The 14,645-nt window shown below is 50.5% G+C and overlaps 1 protein-coding gene across 1 annotated transcript in view, besides 3 other annotated features; it reads left to right on the top strand.

Annotated features, from left to right (window-relative positions):
• The window catches only part of GRIK3 (glutamate ionotropic receptor kainate type subunit 3), a 238,989-nt gene that overhangs the window by 108,627 nt on the left and 115,717 nt on the right, over positions 1-14,645 (top strand). The window lies entirely within an intron of this gene.
• Positions 1,214-1,714: an enhancer, noted in NCBI's record as "H3K4me1 hESC enhancer chr1:37389776-37390276 (GRCh37/hg19 assembly coordinates)". NCBI's record gives its function as "activates a minimal SCP1, AML or CMV promoter by ChIP-STARR-seq in naive H9 embryonic stem cells {active_cell/tissue: H9 hESC(naive)}" and the evidence as "EXISTENCE:reporter gene assay evidence [ECO:0000049][PMID:30033119]".
• Positions 1,384-1,584: a silencer, noted in NCBI's record as "peak178 fragment used in MPRA reporter construct". NCBI's record gives its function as "represses an SCP1 promoter by STARR-seq MPRAs in K562 erythroleukemia cells {active_cell/tissue: K562}" and the evidence as "EXISTENCE:reporter gene assay evidence [ECO:0000049][PMID:32103011]".
• Positions 14,384-14,433: an enhancer, noted in NCBI's record as "active region_762". NCBI's record gives its function as "activates an Ori minimal core promoter by ATAC-STARR-seq in GM12878 lymphoblastoid cells {active_cell/tissue: GM12878}" and the evidence as "EXISTENCE:reporter gene assay evidence [ECO:0000049][PMID:35858748]".

The raw sequence follows: 14,645 nt of genomic DNA, 5'->3' as shown, positions 1-14,645 counted from the left end.
CCCAGGTCCCCAAGTGGACCAGGCCAGTGGGGACCAAGATAATTGGTAATGTTCAAGGTTCCTTAGCCACGCTCCCACTACACCAGCACTGAGCACCCTTGCCTCCCCAAGGATGCAGGGACCCAGACATTCCAAATGGCCTTTTGCTGCTCAGAGCTCTGGAGAAATCTGGACCTCAGAGCTGAGCTTTCTTTTTCTGTTGCCAGGCTCTTGTGCCATGCTCGGCCTGTGGCAGTGGCCACACTGGCTGCACTACCAGCAGAGCCCCAGGCCCTGGGAGGGCCACACTGCAAGGCCAGGCCAGAGACAAGTTCTTGGTTTCAGCAGGCTTGTCTGTTTCTACACAACATCTGGGGCTTACCGCCACCATCTGGACTTGCTCCTGATCAAAGCTCACTCTCTCCTGGTGGCTGCCAATGCTGTTATCAACATCAACCAGGCGGCCTGACCAGAAGCTGGGCAGCTTTCAGGGGAAAGGCTCCGAGGGCACGAACTGGCTCACTGGGGCATTGTATCTAGGCCCCTGGGGGCTGGGACAGAGTACTTCTGCCAGGAGGGATGTGCACGGAGTATGCTGTTGTGGGTTTGGTTGTGCAATGTGTGTGTGCCGTGTGTGTCTGCACATGTGTGTATTCCGGTATGTTTCTGTGAATATTCACATGTGTGAGTTCAAGTTTGCCTCTGTGTGCTAGCATGTCCATGTTTGTGAGTGTGTATCTAAGTGTACTGCCTTTGGGTGGGTGAATGTATGTCAGGGTAGTGAATGGTAAGAGCTCTAGCTGTGGAATCTTCCTGCTGGAGCTTCATTTGTTATCCTCTGAATAATGGGTGCATGATACTGTCTACCATTTTGGGTTGTCAGGAGCATTAGATTTAATAATGCATATTCACCATTTGTAAATACTGCCTTTCACATAGTAGATGCCTGATACATATCACATGATTCCATTATCCTGAGAGTGTGGGTTTTCGTGTGCATGTCTGTGTGTGTCTGGGTCTCTGTGGGTGTTGAGAGTAAGTCTGTGCAGATGTTTGTATCCATGTGTTGGCATGCTGTGTCCCCTGCGAGAAGGTGTGTGCACGTGTGCTCAAGAGCCAGGCGTTTGCTAAATATTTGCTTTGCTGGGCCCTGGGGAGCACAGTTGGCAGAGCTGCCAGCACTGCCGTGCAGTGTTTCTGACAGCTTGAGCACGGCCTCTGGAAGTGTGAACTTTCCCAGGGTAAACAGCTAATGATACTGCAAGGCCAGCGCTGACCCCTTCGTGGCCCTCCTCACAGGCTGGGAGGCATTAGGAGGCTCTGGCTGTGCCTCCCTCCTACTCCCCCAACCGGGTACCCAGCAGCAACAGCGACTGTGTGTGTGATAGGGGCTCAGCACCCAACCCACTCCCCCTCCCCTCTCCACAGCCAGCCTGTAAGCAGCGGAGAAAAACAACTTCTCTTAGCTAATCTCTCCCTACCCTCAGCCATCAGCACCTTGGAGAGCTCCCAACGCATCACTAGGGAGGCGGGGCGGAGGATGCCAAAATTGCACAGCACCAGGCCCTGCTTTCGTCCAGTTGCACCCGATGAAGCCATGACTGGGGTTGTGGGACTCCAGCCACTCCAGGGCTCTGCATCAAGGGAAACCCTAGTGGAAATGCGATTACCTGGTTAATTTATGCAAAACTTCAGTCTTGCTCGAATTGGGTCATAGCCTCTGGGAGTTCCTGAAACCCTGGCACAAAACCGATTTTGTGGATTAAAAAACTGGCCCTTGATCCTCTGCCCTGGCAGTGCCCTCCCTGCCCCTTAGCCCCACCGCTGTCTCTGAAATGTGTCTGACATCCTCCTGCCCTTGCACAACAGGACTTCACTTTCTATGCAGCTGTGTGTACACATGTGTGCACTCATGTGTAGAGCTCTGGGATGTATGTGTCTTGGTGCAAGCTTGCTTGTATGTGTGGGCCCTTGAATGCAGGTGTGTGCATGTGTGGGTCAGCCAGTGCATGTGTGTGTACATGCATGTGTTTACAGCCAACCAGATAGACACATAGGAGAGTGCCTTTGGGACTTGAGTTAGAACAGGTGTTTCCCAAAAGCCATGCAATGGAGGTGATCTCTGGATACACCCCCGATGGGGTTCAGCTTCTCACTAGGTTATGGGATGAGAATAAGGACAGGGTAAACACTAGGATTTATCCTAGAAGCCTATGATGTGAGACAAGGAGTTGGGAGAGAGCACGGAAGAGTGTTTCATTCACCTCTCCAATTTACTAGTGAGGAAACTGAGGCCCTGCCAGGAAGTCAGCTTGCATAAAGTCTGCAAGGATAGAGCTAGGGCCAGCATTCCATGATCCTCATTCCCATGCAGTGGTGTCCACCTCACCCACCCACCCCATTTGTGGCCTGCTGCTTCTGCCTTAAGCCCCCACTGCAAAATTTGGCTCCAGCAAATTAGGGGTCAAAATGTCAGATTTCTAGGGTCTCCAGTCAGACCTGGGGATGCCCCCTTGGGTGTCTCTTCCCTGCCCTTTCCCTGTTCCAATCAGTAGAGGTCCCTTTAACAGATGGATTAGGCCTCCCACCCCTCTACCCCCTGCTGCTGCCTCTGAAGAGAGCGAACCTTTCCAGAGAGCCTCTGTGTTTCATTACAAAGACACAGCCATATTCCATTAATTCCTCATTTGCTGTGGGCAAAGCGCTGATACGTACATTTTTACCTAGGGTGGTTTTAATCAGTTAATTTAACCAGAAACATTAATAATGTATTTCTTTGCCACTCGACTGCCCATCTGTTGAACAACTTACCTGTTGGAGAGCAATGTCACCTCCTGTGACTCAGAGCCCTCGGCTTCCCAGGAACAAGATGAGATTCTGCATATTTAATGGCTTTGCAGACCAAGGGTGAGCACTGGGGGTGCCGCTGGCCAGCCTGGTGTGGGCTCCCAGGCTGCAACCCTGCAATACAGCCTCCCTTTACCCCAGGCTCCAGACAAGGGCCATCTCCTGCCTTTGCCTTTGATCATTGCTTTTATTGTTGGATTCTGGGTTGCAGGAGAGGCTGGATCCCTGCTCAGGGGTTTAGGGAGTGGAGGGAGCTGTGAGAGAAGGGAGTCGCAGCAGACAGATCTGAGCCCTGAGCAAGCAGCCGCACCTCCCGGAACCTGTTTCCTCATCCTCCTCTTGGATATTTTGAGGATTCAGGGAGAAAGTCTACGTGAAGTCCAAGCACAGGCATAGAGTGGATACTCAACATAGGAAGGTTTTCTTCCTTGATAAATAAGCGCATGGCCCCCTGTCTTGGGGACCAATCCCAGTGATTCCTGGTAAACATCTGGATCACCTTGGGGGAGTGAAGGGTGATATTCTGCATATGTAACCACGAGTCCTGAGGGGAAGGGTGGCAGCCAGTAAAGCCCCCTGTATGGCCAGGCATTAACCATTTAGATGCTGGCTCATGGGGAGTTCAGGGAGGGGGTTCCCCAGGGAGGGAGTTGAAGCAGCTGAGGCAGCAGCAGAACTTCCAGGAGCTTGGGGATGCTGCTTAAGGGGGCGGGTGGTACCTGCCACAGGGCAGAACCCACCGCCTGACCTCCCCTACATTGTGGCTTTCCTGGGGTTCTCATTGTTCTCCTCCTTCCTCAGGAACCACGAGGCACCCAGAGTTCAGGGTGGCCTCTCTCACTGCTGAGCCTGAACCTCTGGGACTGATGTCCACCCACTCAGCTCTGTGTCCCATTTTCCCGTAGCTCTGGAGGTCACTGGTGCAAAGCCACTGTGCACCCTCTTAGTGGCACGACAGGAACTGGATCCCAGTGTGCACTCTGCCCAACACCCACCTCTCAGCCTGGTGCTGTGGTCATAGGGGCCTACCCCTCTGTGGGGCCCTGATGAGCAGCATAAAAGCAAAACAAATGCCTCTCTAAGGGCTCCCAGCATTCCTGTCTGGGAGAACATTGAGAGCTCACTCCTGGGGAAAGGAGAGAGGTGGGAGGGAAGGAGCCACTGGACCCCAGGTGACCCGAGGGATTTGTCCTACAATAGGAGCAGGGCAGGTGAGACACCCTCAGGACAAAGCAGGGCCAGGTCCTCAGTGGAAACTCCTTCTCCTGCCTTGGTCTGCTTTGATTTCATAAAATCTAAGACACATCGACAGTAATATACATAATTTTATGTACTTCCCTAAGAAAGAAAAAAAATGCCACCCATTATACTATGACACAGTGCTTTCTTATCATCTACTGCAAGACCCATCTCAATTTCAGGGATGTTAAAATGTGAAAAAAAAAAGTGTGATTTGAAATCAATGAAATATGGTAATAAAAATAGCACTAGCTGCCATTTATCAAGAGCTCTTTACGTACCCCGCTATCTCTGAGGGCTGTGTGTGCAGCATCTCACCCGATCCTCATGGAACCCTGTGAATCGAGATATCGTTCAGAGGTTAAGCAGTGTTAAAGGTCACGCAGACCATCATAATCATCCTTCAGTAGTATTTGAGAATGATCATGTGCTAACAAGATCATCCCCCAGATCTGTAGTAAGGACATGGAGTAAGGCACATGGAGCTTGTGTGTCTGAGGTCAAATGCAGCTGGTAGGTGGCAGAGGAGCTGGGATCTGAACCTCTGCGGAGCCTACTTGGTTGGCCTCTCCACCATCCTGTCATCAGCTAGCAGGGCCAGAGCTGTGCTTCAAACCCTGTTTCATCTAACTCCAAGCCATGCTCCTAACCACTAGGCTTTATTGCCTCTTTTCAAAAGCAAAGGATGGCAGAGGAGGAGATTTCGGCATCCGTGTCCACCCACAGGACTTGCCCTCTCTCTGGCCCTCCCAGCCCTCTGGAGGCTGCCCCGCCATGCCCACTCTCCACCTCCAGATGGGCACTTGCTTTCCATGCTGGCTTCCCAGCAGAGGGTGATTCCCACCTCTTCGGCCTCCTCCAGAATCCTAACAGCCAGTATGCATGGAGGGGGCGGGAGGCAGCAGGCATGCAGGGATGAGGCAGAAACTGAGAGTGAGAGCTGCTGCTGAAAACTCACAAATTGGTCCCAGAGAGAAATGGAGCCTCTTTTTGCCCATCAGCTCACTCCCCCAACCATTATCAGGAAAGCAGTGTGAGGGCCTTGGCTGGAGTGAAACTCAGGTGTGGGTGTGGGGAATGGCACTGGGGCCTCCACAGCTCCCTTCTGGAGGGGCACGGAGGCCTTGGAGGCCAGCCTGGGCTCATCCTCCTCAGAGAACAGGGCTGGAGCACAGGAGCTGGTGCATGGGGGAGGTGGCCAACAGTAACTGTAGGGGTCTTCAGGTGGACACAAGAGGCCAGAGCCAATGAGATATGGGGCATGGGAAGCAGGTGCTGAACAGACAGACCCAGGGCTTGGTGGGAGGTGCAAAATCCAACCCCAAACAGCAGACGGTGGCTTCTGGGGGTCCCGGGATGGTAAATTCTGGATCAGGCTTTACCCTGGGCCTCAGGCAGAGAGCAGCAGGGAGGGGGGATCTGGAGCAGGTAAGGCACACCCAGGCCCTGGGCCAAAGGATTCTTGTGCATCAGCCTCTAACCTGTCCAGCAGCCCTGGGAGGCAAAATTCCCATTTCACAGATGGAAAAACTGACAGGCAGAGGGGTTGAGTAACAGCTAGTTAGTTTCTGAGCTGGCACAAGAACTGCACCACAATAGTCTGGTTCCAGGTCACTAGACTCTGGTCCCTCTAGAGAAGAGGCATTAGATAAGTGAGCCAGACAGGGCAAGATGAGCTCACAGAACCAAGGCCGACCAGCTTCAGGACAGACCAGTTTCAGGGGTCAGTCTGCTACAGCTCCTTAATTCCATGCCATTTCTTCTCAGCCGTGGTCCTTGGCCCTTGGCAGAGCTGAGCCTGGGGTGGGACACACACTTTGCTTTTGGCAACCGGGAGCCATACTGCATCCAGTGAGCATCCGCAGCTGCAGCTTGCATGCATCTGCTGATGGCAGGGATGGAGCTGGCTCTCCAGGCAGGAGGAGCATCTTCCTCTTCCCCCACACCATGCACCTCTCTCCTGAAGATGAGGATATGCACCCGCCACGGGTAGGGCCCAGGGGCCATGGGCACTGAGTTCTCCTACAAAACTCTCCAGTCCTCCACTGCAGGGCTCACTGGCAGAGCCAGCACTGTGGGAGACACAGTGGAGGTGCCATCACCATGTGTCCACTGACAGCCGGGCACAGCAGTGCTGGAGATGGGAGCAGCAGTTCCTTGAGGCAGCATTTCTGTTCTGAGACAGAGAGTGAGAAAAACTGATACCTGGAAGGAGATGGCTGGCAGGGTGTGACTTAGCCAGGCATGACCATGCCTGACTCCTGCCTGTTCGCCAAAACCAGCAGGCTCGTTCCTGCTGCTCCAGCTGCTCCCTCTGCATGTCAGGTGCTTTTACTCTTCCTCTGCTCACTCTTTAAAGCAGCGCACCAGCATGGCACATGTATACATATGTAACTAACCTGCACATTGTGCACATGTACCCTAAAACTTAAAGTATAATAATAATAAATAAAATAAAATAAAATAAAATAAAATAAAATAAAATTTTAAAAAAGCCCAGCCCAAATATCACTTCCTCTGAGAGGCCTTCTGGGATTCTTCCAGGCCATTTTCTTCCCCTTGAACACTGAGTTTATCACAGTAGAGCACTCATCACCCTGATTGTTGGTTATTTCTCCATTTGACACTTTCCTTCTTCAGTTTGTGAACAAACCAAGGCAAGGACTGGCCCTTACCCATTTTTCTACCCCAGCACTGAGAAGGCACCAGTGGACATTGGCTGCATTGAACCTCCCTTGGGAAAGCCATAAAAACAGTCCCCTCTATGGGCTCCTCATCATCTCACCCTTCATAGGTCTCTTCATAGCTTTTATCAAAGCAAGGTTGGTGCCCTAAAGGCAGGGAGCATGTTTGCTTAGTTCAGCGCTGTATCTCCAGTGCCTGGAACAGTCCTTGGCCTGTCATTGGTGTTCGATGAATAGTAATTGAATGAATGAATGAGTGAATGAATGAATGAGAGAAGGGCTGCTCAGAGAGGTCAGAGGGCTGCTCACACAGGGCCAAGAATGTGGGGTTTATTCCCACTGGCTCAGTTTCCAGGCACTGTGCAAGACTAGGCAGCACATCTCTTGAAGGTCACACAATCTAGGTGGGAGACAGACGTGGAAATGGTGACAGGGCAAATGCTGAATGAAAGATGAAACCAACTGGCATTGTCTGGGGGAGGACACAGCTGGACACACCTGGCTGCAAGGTATGAACCATAGGGAGGTTACGACTCTGTCTGAACCTCAGTTTCTTCATCTGTCATACAGTGGGAATCTAATATTAATATTTAGGGGTGTGTCAGAGATTAAACCAGATGATGTTCATAAAGCATTTGGCACACTACCTGATGCACGAGAAGGGATCAGATACTTTGTCGCCATTAATAATAAATGTAATGTCATGAGCAAAGACATGGGCAAAGATGTGGCAGTTTATGGGCTTGCTGAGGGGCTGTCTGATACAGCAAAAATGCACACTGCATAAGAAGGTTAAAGGGACATAGGGCAGAAAGGTAGGTGGGGTCCTGATATATGAAAAAGGAGAATGATATCAGAATCTACCTGCTAGGGTTGCTGTGAGGATTAAATGAGATAATGAAGGGAAAGGCTTGGAACATAGGTTCTATAGGTGTTAGTGATACTTCTTGTTTTTATGACTTCAGAGCTGCTTTGGGTTCCCCTGCTAACTAACACCAGAAGGTTACACAGAAAGTCCTGTCTTTGCATTGTTCAAAGTGCAGGGTTTAGAGGAGTACAGTGTCTTTAAACCTATATTTTTAAAATTCAAGCTACTTCTCTTCTCCATGGCTGCTGACAGCCCATGCAAATTTTGAGATTGCAACTTTGCTCCAGTTCTGCAAATGCAGCTGCTGGCCTCCCCTTATAAACCTCCTTGGAGTTTCTGAGTGGCTGTGACTGGGGGTGGGGGTATGAGTCCTTCTGGCTTTTGACAAGAGCAGCTTAGCTTTCTGCTCTGGATGCTCCTATAAGGAATCTCTCCCCACTGCTTAAAAGGCCTGAATGACATTTTCCTGTGGTGTCCTCTTCAACCTCCCTGTATTAGTCCGTTTTCAAGCTGCTGATAAAAACATACCTGAGACTGGGCAATTTGCAAAAGAAAGAGGTTTAATGGACTTACAGTTCCATGTGGCTGGAAGGCTTTACAATCATGGCAGAAGTTGAAAGGCACATCTCACGTGGTGGCAGACAAGAGAAGAGAGCTTGTGCAGGGAAACTCCTCCTTATTAAATCTCGTGAGACTTATTCACTATCATGAGAACAGCACAAGAAATACCTGCCCCCATGATTCAATTACCTCTCAGTGGGTCCCTCCCACAACACGTGGGAATTCAAGATGAGATTTGGATGGGGACACAGCCAAACCATATCATGCCACCCCTGGCCCCTCCCAAATCTCATGTCCTCACATTTCAAAACCGATGCCTTCCCAACAGTCCCCCAAAGTTTTAACTGATTTCAGCATTAGCTCAAAAGTCCACAGTTCAAAGTCTCATCTGAGACAAGGCAAGTCCCTTCCACCTATGAGCCAGTAAAATCAAGAACAAGTTAGTTACTTCCTCGATAAAATGGCATTACAGGCATTCGATAAATACAGCCATTTCAAATGGGAGAAATTGGCTTAAAAAAAGGAGGCTACAGGCCCCATGCAAGTCTGAAATCCAGCAGGGCACTCAAATCTTAAAGCTCCAAAATGATCTCCTTTGACTCCATGCCTCACTGGACAGATCACACTGATGCAAGAGGTAAGTTCCCATGGTCGTTGGCAGCTCCACCCCTGAGGCTTTACAGGGAATAGTCCCTATCTTGGCTGCTTTCATGGGTCAGCATTGAGTGTCTGTGGTTTTTCCAGATGCACAGTGCAGGCTGTCAGTGGATCTACCATTCTGGGGTCTGGAGAATGGTGGCCCTCTTCTCATAGCTCCACTAGGTGGTGCCCCAATAGAGACTCTGCATGGGGGCTCCAACCCCACATTTCCCTTCTGCGCTACCCTAGCAGAGGTTCTCCATGAGGGCCCCACCCCTGCAGCAAACTTTTGTCTGGGCATCCAGGTGTTTCCATACATCCTCTGAAATCTAGGCAGAGGCTCCCAAACCTCAATTCTTGACTTTTGGGCACCTGCAGGCTCAACACCACATGGAAGCTGCTGAGGCTTGGGGCTTCCACCCGTTGAAGCAACAGCCCGAGGTGTAACTTGTCCCCTTTTAGTCACTGCTGGAGTGGCTGGGACACAGGGCACCAAGTCCCTAGACTGCATGCAGCACTGGAACCCTGAGCCCGGCCCACAAAACCATTTTTCTCCTAGGTCTCCATGCCTGTGATGTGAGGGGCTGCCATGAAGACCTCTGATATTCCCTGGAGACATTTTCCCCATTGTCTTGGGGATTAACATTAGGCTCCTCATTACTTATGCAAGTTTCTGCAGTTGGCTTGAATTTCTCCTCAGAAAATGGGTTTTTCTTTTCCATCATGTTGTCAGGCTGCAAATTTTCCAAACTTTTATACTCTGTTTCCTTTTTAAAAATCAGTGCCTTTAACAGCACCCAAGTCACCTTTTGAATGCTTTGCAGCTTAGAAACTTTTTCCACCAGATACACTAAATCATCTCTCTCAAGCTCAAAGTTCCACAAGTCTGTAGGGCAGGGGCAAAATGCTGCCAGTCTCTTTGCTAAAACATAGCAAGTCAGCTTTGCTCCAGTTTCCAACAAGTTCCTCATCTCCATCTGAGATCACATCAGCCTGAATTTCATTGACGATATCATTATCAGCATTTTGGTTGAAGCCATTCAACAAGTCTCTAGGCAATTCCAAACTTCCCACATTTTCCTGTCTTCTTCTGAGCCCTCCAAATTTTTCCAACCTCTGCCCGTTACCCAGTTCCAAAGTCGCTTCCACATTTTCAGGTATCTTTTCAGCAACGTACCACTCCCAGTACCAATTTACTGAATTAGCCCATTTTCATGTTGCCAATAAAGACATACCCAAGACTGGGCAATTTACAGAAGAAAGACGTTTAATGCACTTACAGTTCCATGTGGCTGGGAGCCCTCACAATCATGATGGAAGGTGAAAGGCATGTCTTACATGGTGGCAAACAAGAGAAGAGAGCTTGTTCAGGGAAACTCCCCTTTATTAAAACCATCAGATCTCGTGAGACTTATTCACAACCATGAAAACAGCACGGGAAAGACCTGCCCCCATGATTCAATTACCTCCCACCAGGTCCCTCCCACATCACATGGGGATTCAAGATGAGATTTGGGTGGGGACACATCCAAACCATATCCCTCCCCTAGGCAGCAGCTTTGGTTAAAAACCACTTTCCACTTGTTCCCACCCCGGAGTTTTGCTGTTTAGCCATTTCATGCTTGTTTATACTTGTATGTTTGTGCATATTTATTTATATTTGAGAAATGTTTATTGAATGCCAATTATGTGCCAGGTCTTGTTCTAGGCACTGGAGAGAAAGAGATGAACAAGCTGATAAGATCTGCAGGCCCAAGGAACTTCTAAGTGCTGAGGGTGGGGAGAAGAGGTGGACTGTACACTAGACAGCAAATAGATATTTAAGACAGCAAATAGATATTAAGCTGCATGAAGAACTTTGAGAAAGCAAGCAAGGTGTCACAGTGGCAGAGGTCTCCCCTACTGTTTATCTGCTGTATGCCCAGTACTTGACACATGGTGGGTGCTCCCTGAGTGTTTGTTGAGTGAAGGAAGGGCTGAATGGAGGAACATCTTTTTCTGGGGTGTTGATAAAGGACAAGGTCGCTCAGAATTCCTTTGCACGAACTTATGAAGATCCAAGCAGCCTCATGTGCTAATGATAATAATTAAGTCAGAATCCCTTATTTGAAACAACTACCTCAGGGAGAGGCACAAAGCACCAGGCTGATGAATTGGTTCCCCAGCCTTCCCTCCTGTTGTGCCCTGCCCAGGTGAGATGTGTGCTCACACCTGCCCAGGTGCATACACATGCATAAATGAGAGTCTAGTGGAGTAATCACACCTCCAAGGCTGTGTTAAAACAACCGGTCACTGATGCCTCAGAATCAATCTTTAAAAAGCAAAATCCATCATTTGGTGGGGCCCGTTGGGCTGAGTAGATCAAATAGTTTCACCGTTGTACTTTCTTATTCTTCTTGTGTGTCTCTAGTGCACAGGGCTGGGGAGCCCAGTGTGTGGGGCTGACTGAGATGTGGAGGATCTAGCCCTGGACCTCAAATAGCTCACACCTCAGAGGCAGGATAAATAACTTTTGCCCAAGTCACTGTAACACAGCGATTTCCAGAAGCGTGTTTCCAGTAAGATGCTCTGCCAGAAAAGGTTTCCCCGGTTGTCAAGTAAGTTTGGGAAATGTTGCTACCCACCTCTCAGAGGCTCTGCATGTGAGCAGAGCAAATGCCCAGAGAAGTCCTGCAGAAAAGAAACCTGCTCAACCTTGTTCAACTTCTAGTTTTCTCAACTTAAAGAAGACTTTAGCTTCTCTGCACATTGACTGCAGTTTCCTGGGGCCACTGAAATAGCAATGACACAATTTTCCCTCCAGCCAAGCCAGAGGTGTCCATTCTCCATTCTACCCCAGGCAGCATAGTAAGTGGAGTCAAAAGCTGAGCTGAGGTGAGAAGAGGAAGCAAGAGGACACATCTTCCCAAGCGGGAGGGAGAAAGGATACAGCCCCATTCTACTGTTGCTAGATGAGAAAGCTGAGGCTCCCACACCTGCCCCGGCACCGTGGGGCTGCAGTGTGGGACCTCCCTGGTAAACAAGGAGCTAGAGACAGGGACCAGAGCTGTGCCAAGAACAAAGCTGTGCTGTGCCTTTAATTCCAGGTGGCCGGTGACAAGTCAGGAGCTGAGACCCCAGAGGAGGTCAGAATATGTGAGCAGGAGTAGCTTTGGCAGCATTTGTGTTGGTTTTGGGAGAGTTGTGGGGATTTGGGAGAGGAAGGTAGAACCTGCAGGATGGGTGGGCTGAAGGCAGGTGACTTCAGTGGATTCTGGCCGATGGTGGACGGCAGTGATATTTTCAGCATCTTAGAGTCATGCCTCTGGGAGAGGTTTGCCTGGGAGAGCTCCTCCCAGAAAGCCAAAGGCCCTGCTGTGATTGGGGGTGGGGCTGTGGGGCGTGGTGTTGCCACCTGATGAGAATGATGTGTGCTTTGTGTGTCTGCTCCACCAGGCCCCTTTCTGTCACTCCAGCAGTATTGTTAGAGAAGAAACAAAACAAAACAAAATTGAGAGTGGAAGTTGATTCTATAATTAGTGCAATTTCTTCACTGTTCATTCAGGATCTCCAGAGATCAATTAGCTTGCTTTTAAGCTAAAAGGCATCTGGATAAGTATTTAACCTGCATAGCAATTGATATTTACAACAGACGAGGATGGAAGTAATAAACGCAGAACAGGGGGCTTCTGTTCTCCTCCACTAATTTTCCCGGTCTTGCTCCCCTGACCCTCGCCTCTGCCCACTCTCATTTCTGGAGTGACCTTAGATTGGGCCTTCTGGCTTTCTCAGGGCAGGTCTGTGGGTGGGCAGGCTGGCACAGAGGGGCTGCTGGTGGCAGGGTTCTCTCCCTGATCCTGGCATTGCTATGGAGCAGGTGCCCGGGTTTGGAGATGAGCCCAGTTGGGATGGTGGTGGGACACGCCCCCATCCAGGGAGAGCCAGGCCCTCTCTGTGCAGCTGCCTACTCATGCCAGGCACATGGCCCCTATCCACTCTTGTAAGGGACAGGGTGTCTACTGAAGGTCCCTCAGCCTCAGTCTCCCTATCTACTAATAGCGGATCCCTGCTGGAGCTGGGGTAGCGGAGGGCTTGAGAACAGCAGGAGCTAGTGTCCTCCTGGCTGTGCATAATCATTACAGATGGTCTGAGAGATATTTGTGTGTTCTTTGATTTGTCACGTAAATATCAAAGTCCTGAACTCAAATTAGCTTCTTAAAACAAGCAGCATATGTGTTTTAGGCACACATACATATACATATATTTAACAAACATGTTGACATCCTATCTGTGCTAGATAGTGTGTCAGGCACTGGGGGAGGGAAGGAGATGCCAGGATGACAAAGGCGTGTCCTCACCCTCTAGATGACCTCAGCCTAATGGAGAAGGGGGAGAGTGGGGCCCAGGACTCAGCACAGCACAACGCAGCCCCCCACCATGTGTGAGGATACGGAGGAGGACGCATAGGGAGCTCAGGAAAGCTCTTAGTCAAGGACCCCCAAATGCAAGCCCTGTGAGGAGGGCTAGGGTGTAAATAGTTTATCTGGGAGGCGGCTCCAGGAATCAGGACCATGAGGGAGCAGGGAAGAGAGACCGGTAAGCAGGGGAGCCAAGCAAGGGTGTGCAGGCAGGTGGGTTACACTGTGGGCAGCAGAGGGGGGAGGAGGGGGGTTCTGTTCTGCTGGGGCCTATTGAGAAACTGCATAGAATCTGCATCCCAACGGTGCCTGCAAGGGGCGAGGAAGCTGGACGTTTATCCACCAGCTCCCAGGCCTCCCTAGCCTGTCCCATGTGCTGGCCAAATCCGCGCCTTTGCCAGAGAGTATCAGAGATCGTGGAAGCTGAGGGCATGCAGAGGAAGTGTCTGCAGTGGCCTCTGGGGTTGGGATCAGGGGACGAGGATCATGTCTGTTGCACAAGGCTCAGAAGAGAAAAGCGTGACCCAGGACGAAACCCAGAGAAAGAAGGAAAAGCGAGACGCAGAGGAAGGTGTGCGTGAAGGGAGTGGTGAGAAACAGCATGGGGTGAGGACACCCTGCCTGGAAGAGTGGACGCTGAAGAGAGGCTGGGCTGGATGGGGAAGGGCCCCAAACACCAGGCTAAGGGAGTTGTCCTTTCTGCTGCCAGTGGGTGTGCGTGAAGAGGGGGCTGTGGAATTGCTCTGCTGACTGACCGCGGAGGTGGGACAGCCCCGCCAGTGTCTGGGGGAGGCCCGCATGGTGGCTCTAGATCTCCATTCCTTTGTCCCCTCCAGCAAGGACAGGCACTGCTCACAGGGCCCCTCCACAGCTCCCCGCTCAGTCCTCTGCCCACATTGTACTCCTGCTCCTCCTGCCTGATGACAGCCCATCCCTCATCAGGGTCTCTGGGCAGCACAAGAGCCTCCAGCCATCCTCCCAACACGGTCGATTCTGCAATATTTGACTTGCATGTCCCTGAGTTGTACAGACAAAGCTCCTCATAGCACTAGATCAATTAAAACAACTGCCACCAGGCCCCGGAACTCAATCAGGAGTCCCCCTGGGACCCCAGGGAAGTGCACATCCTCTGCTCAGATCTGCCCCTTCTCTGGATGCCTGCCTACAGCTCCGTTGAAGGCCCTCCAGCCTTCCTATCACCTCATAATAATTTCTTATTCTTATCAAAGGCATACAATGTGCTTTAGGTGATTTATGCCATTTAAGCCTCAAAATACCCCTATGTTGTAAACACTATTAATATCTCTGTTTCAGATGATGAAACAGAGACACAGAGCAGTAAAGGGACTTGCCCAAGGTGACATAGCTGGGAAGTGGTGCCTTCTGGCTGCAGAGCCCACATGCTTAGCTGAACCTCATCCTCATTCAAAC

Source organism: Homo sapiens, chromosome 1 (assembly GCF_000001405.40).
Source record: "Homo sapiens chromosome 1, GRCh38.p14 Primary Assembly".
In the NCBI taxonomy this organism is placed as follows: Eukaryota; Metazoa; Chordata; class Mammalia; order Primates; family Hominidae; genus Homo; species Homo sapiens.
The sequence above is the reverse complement of the archived record's forward strand: the minus strand, read 5'-3'. Positions and strand labels throughout refer to the sequence as shown.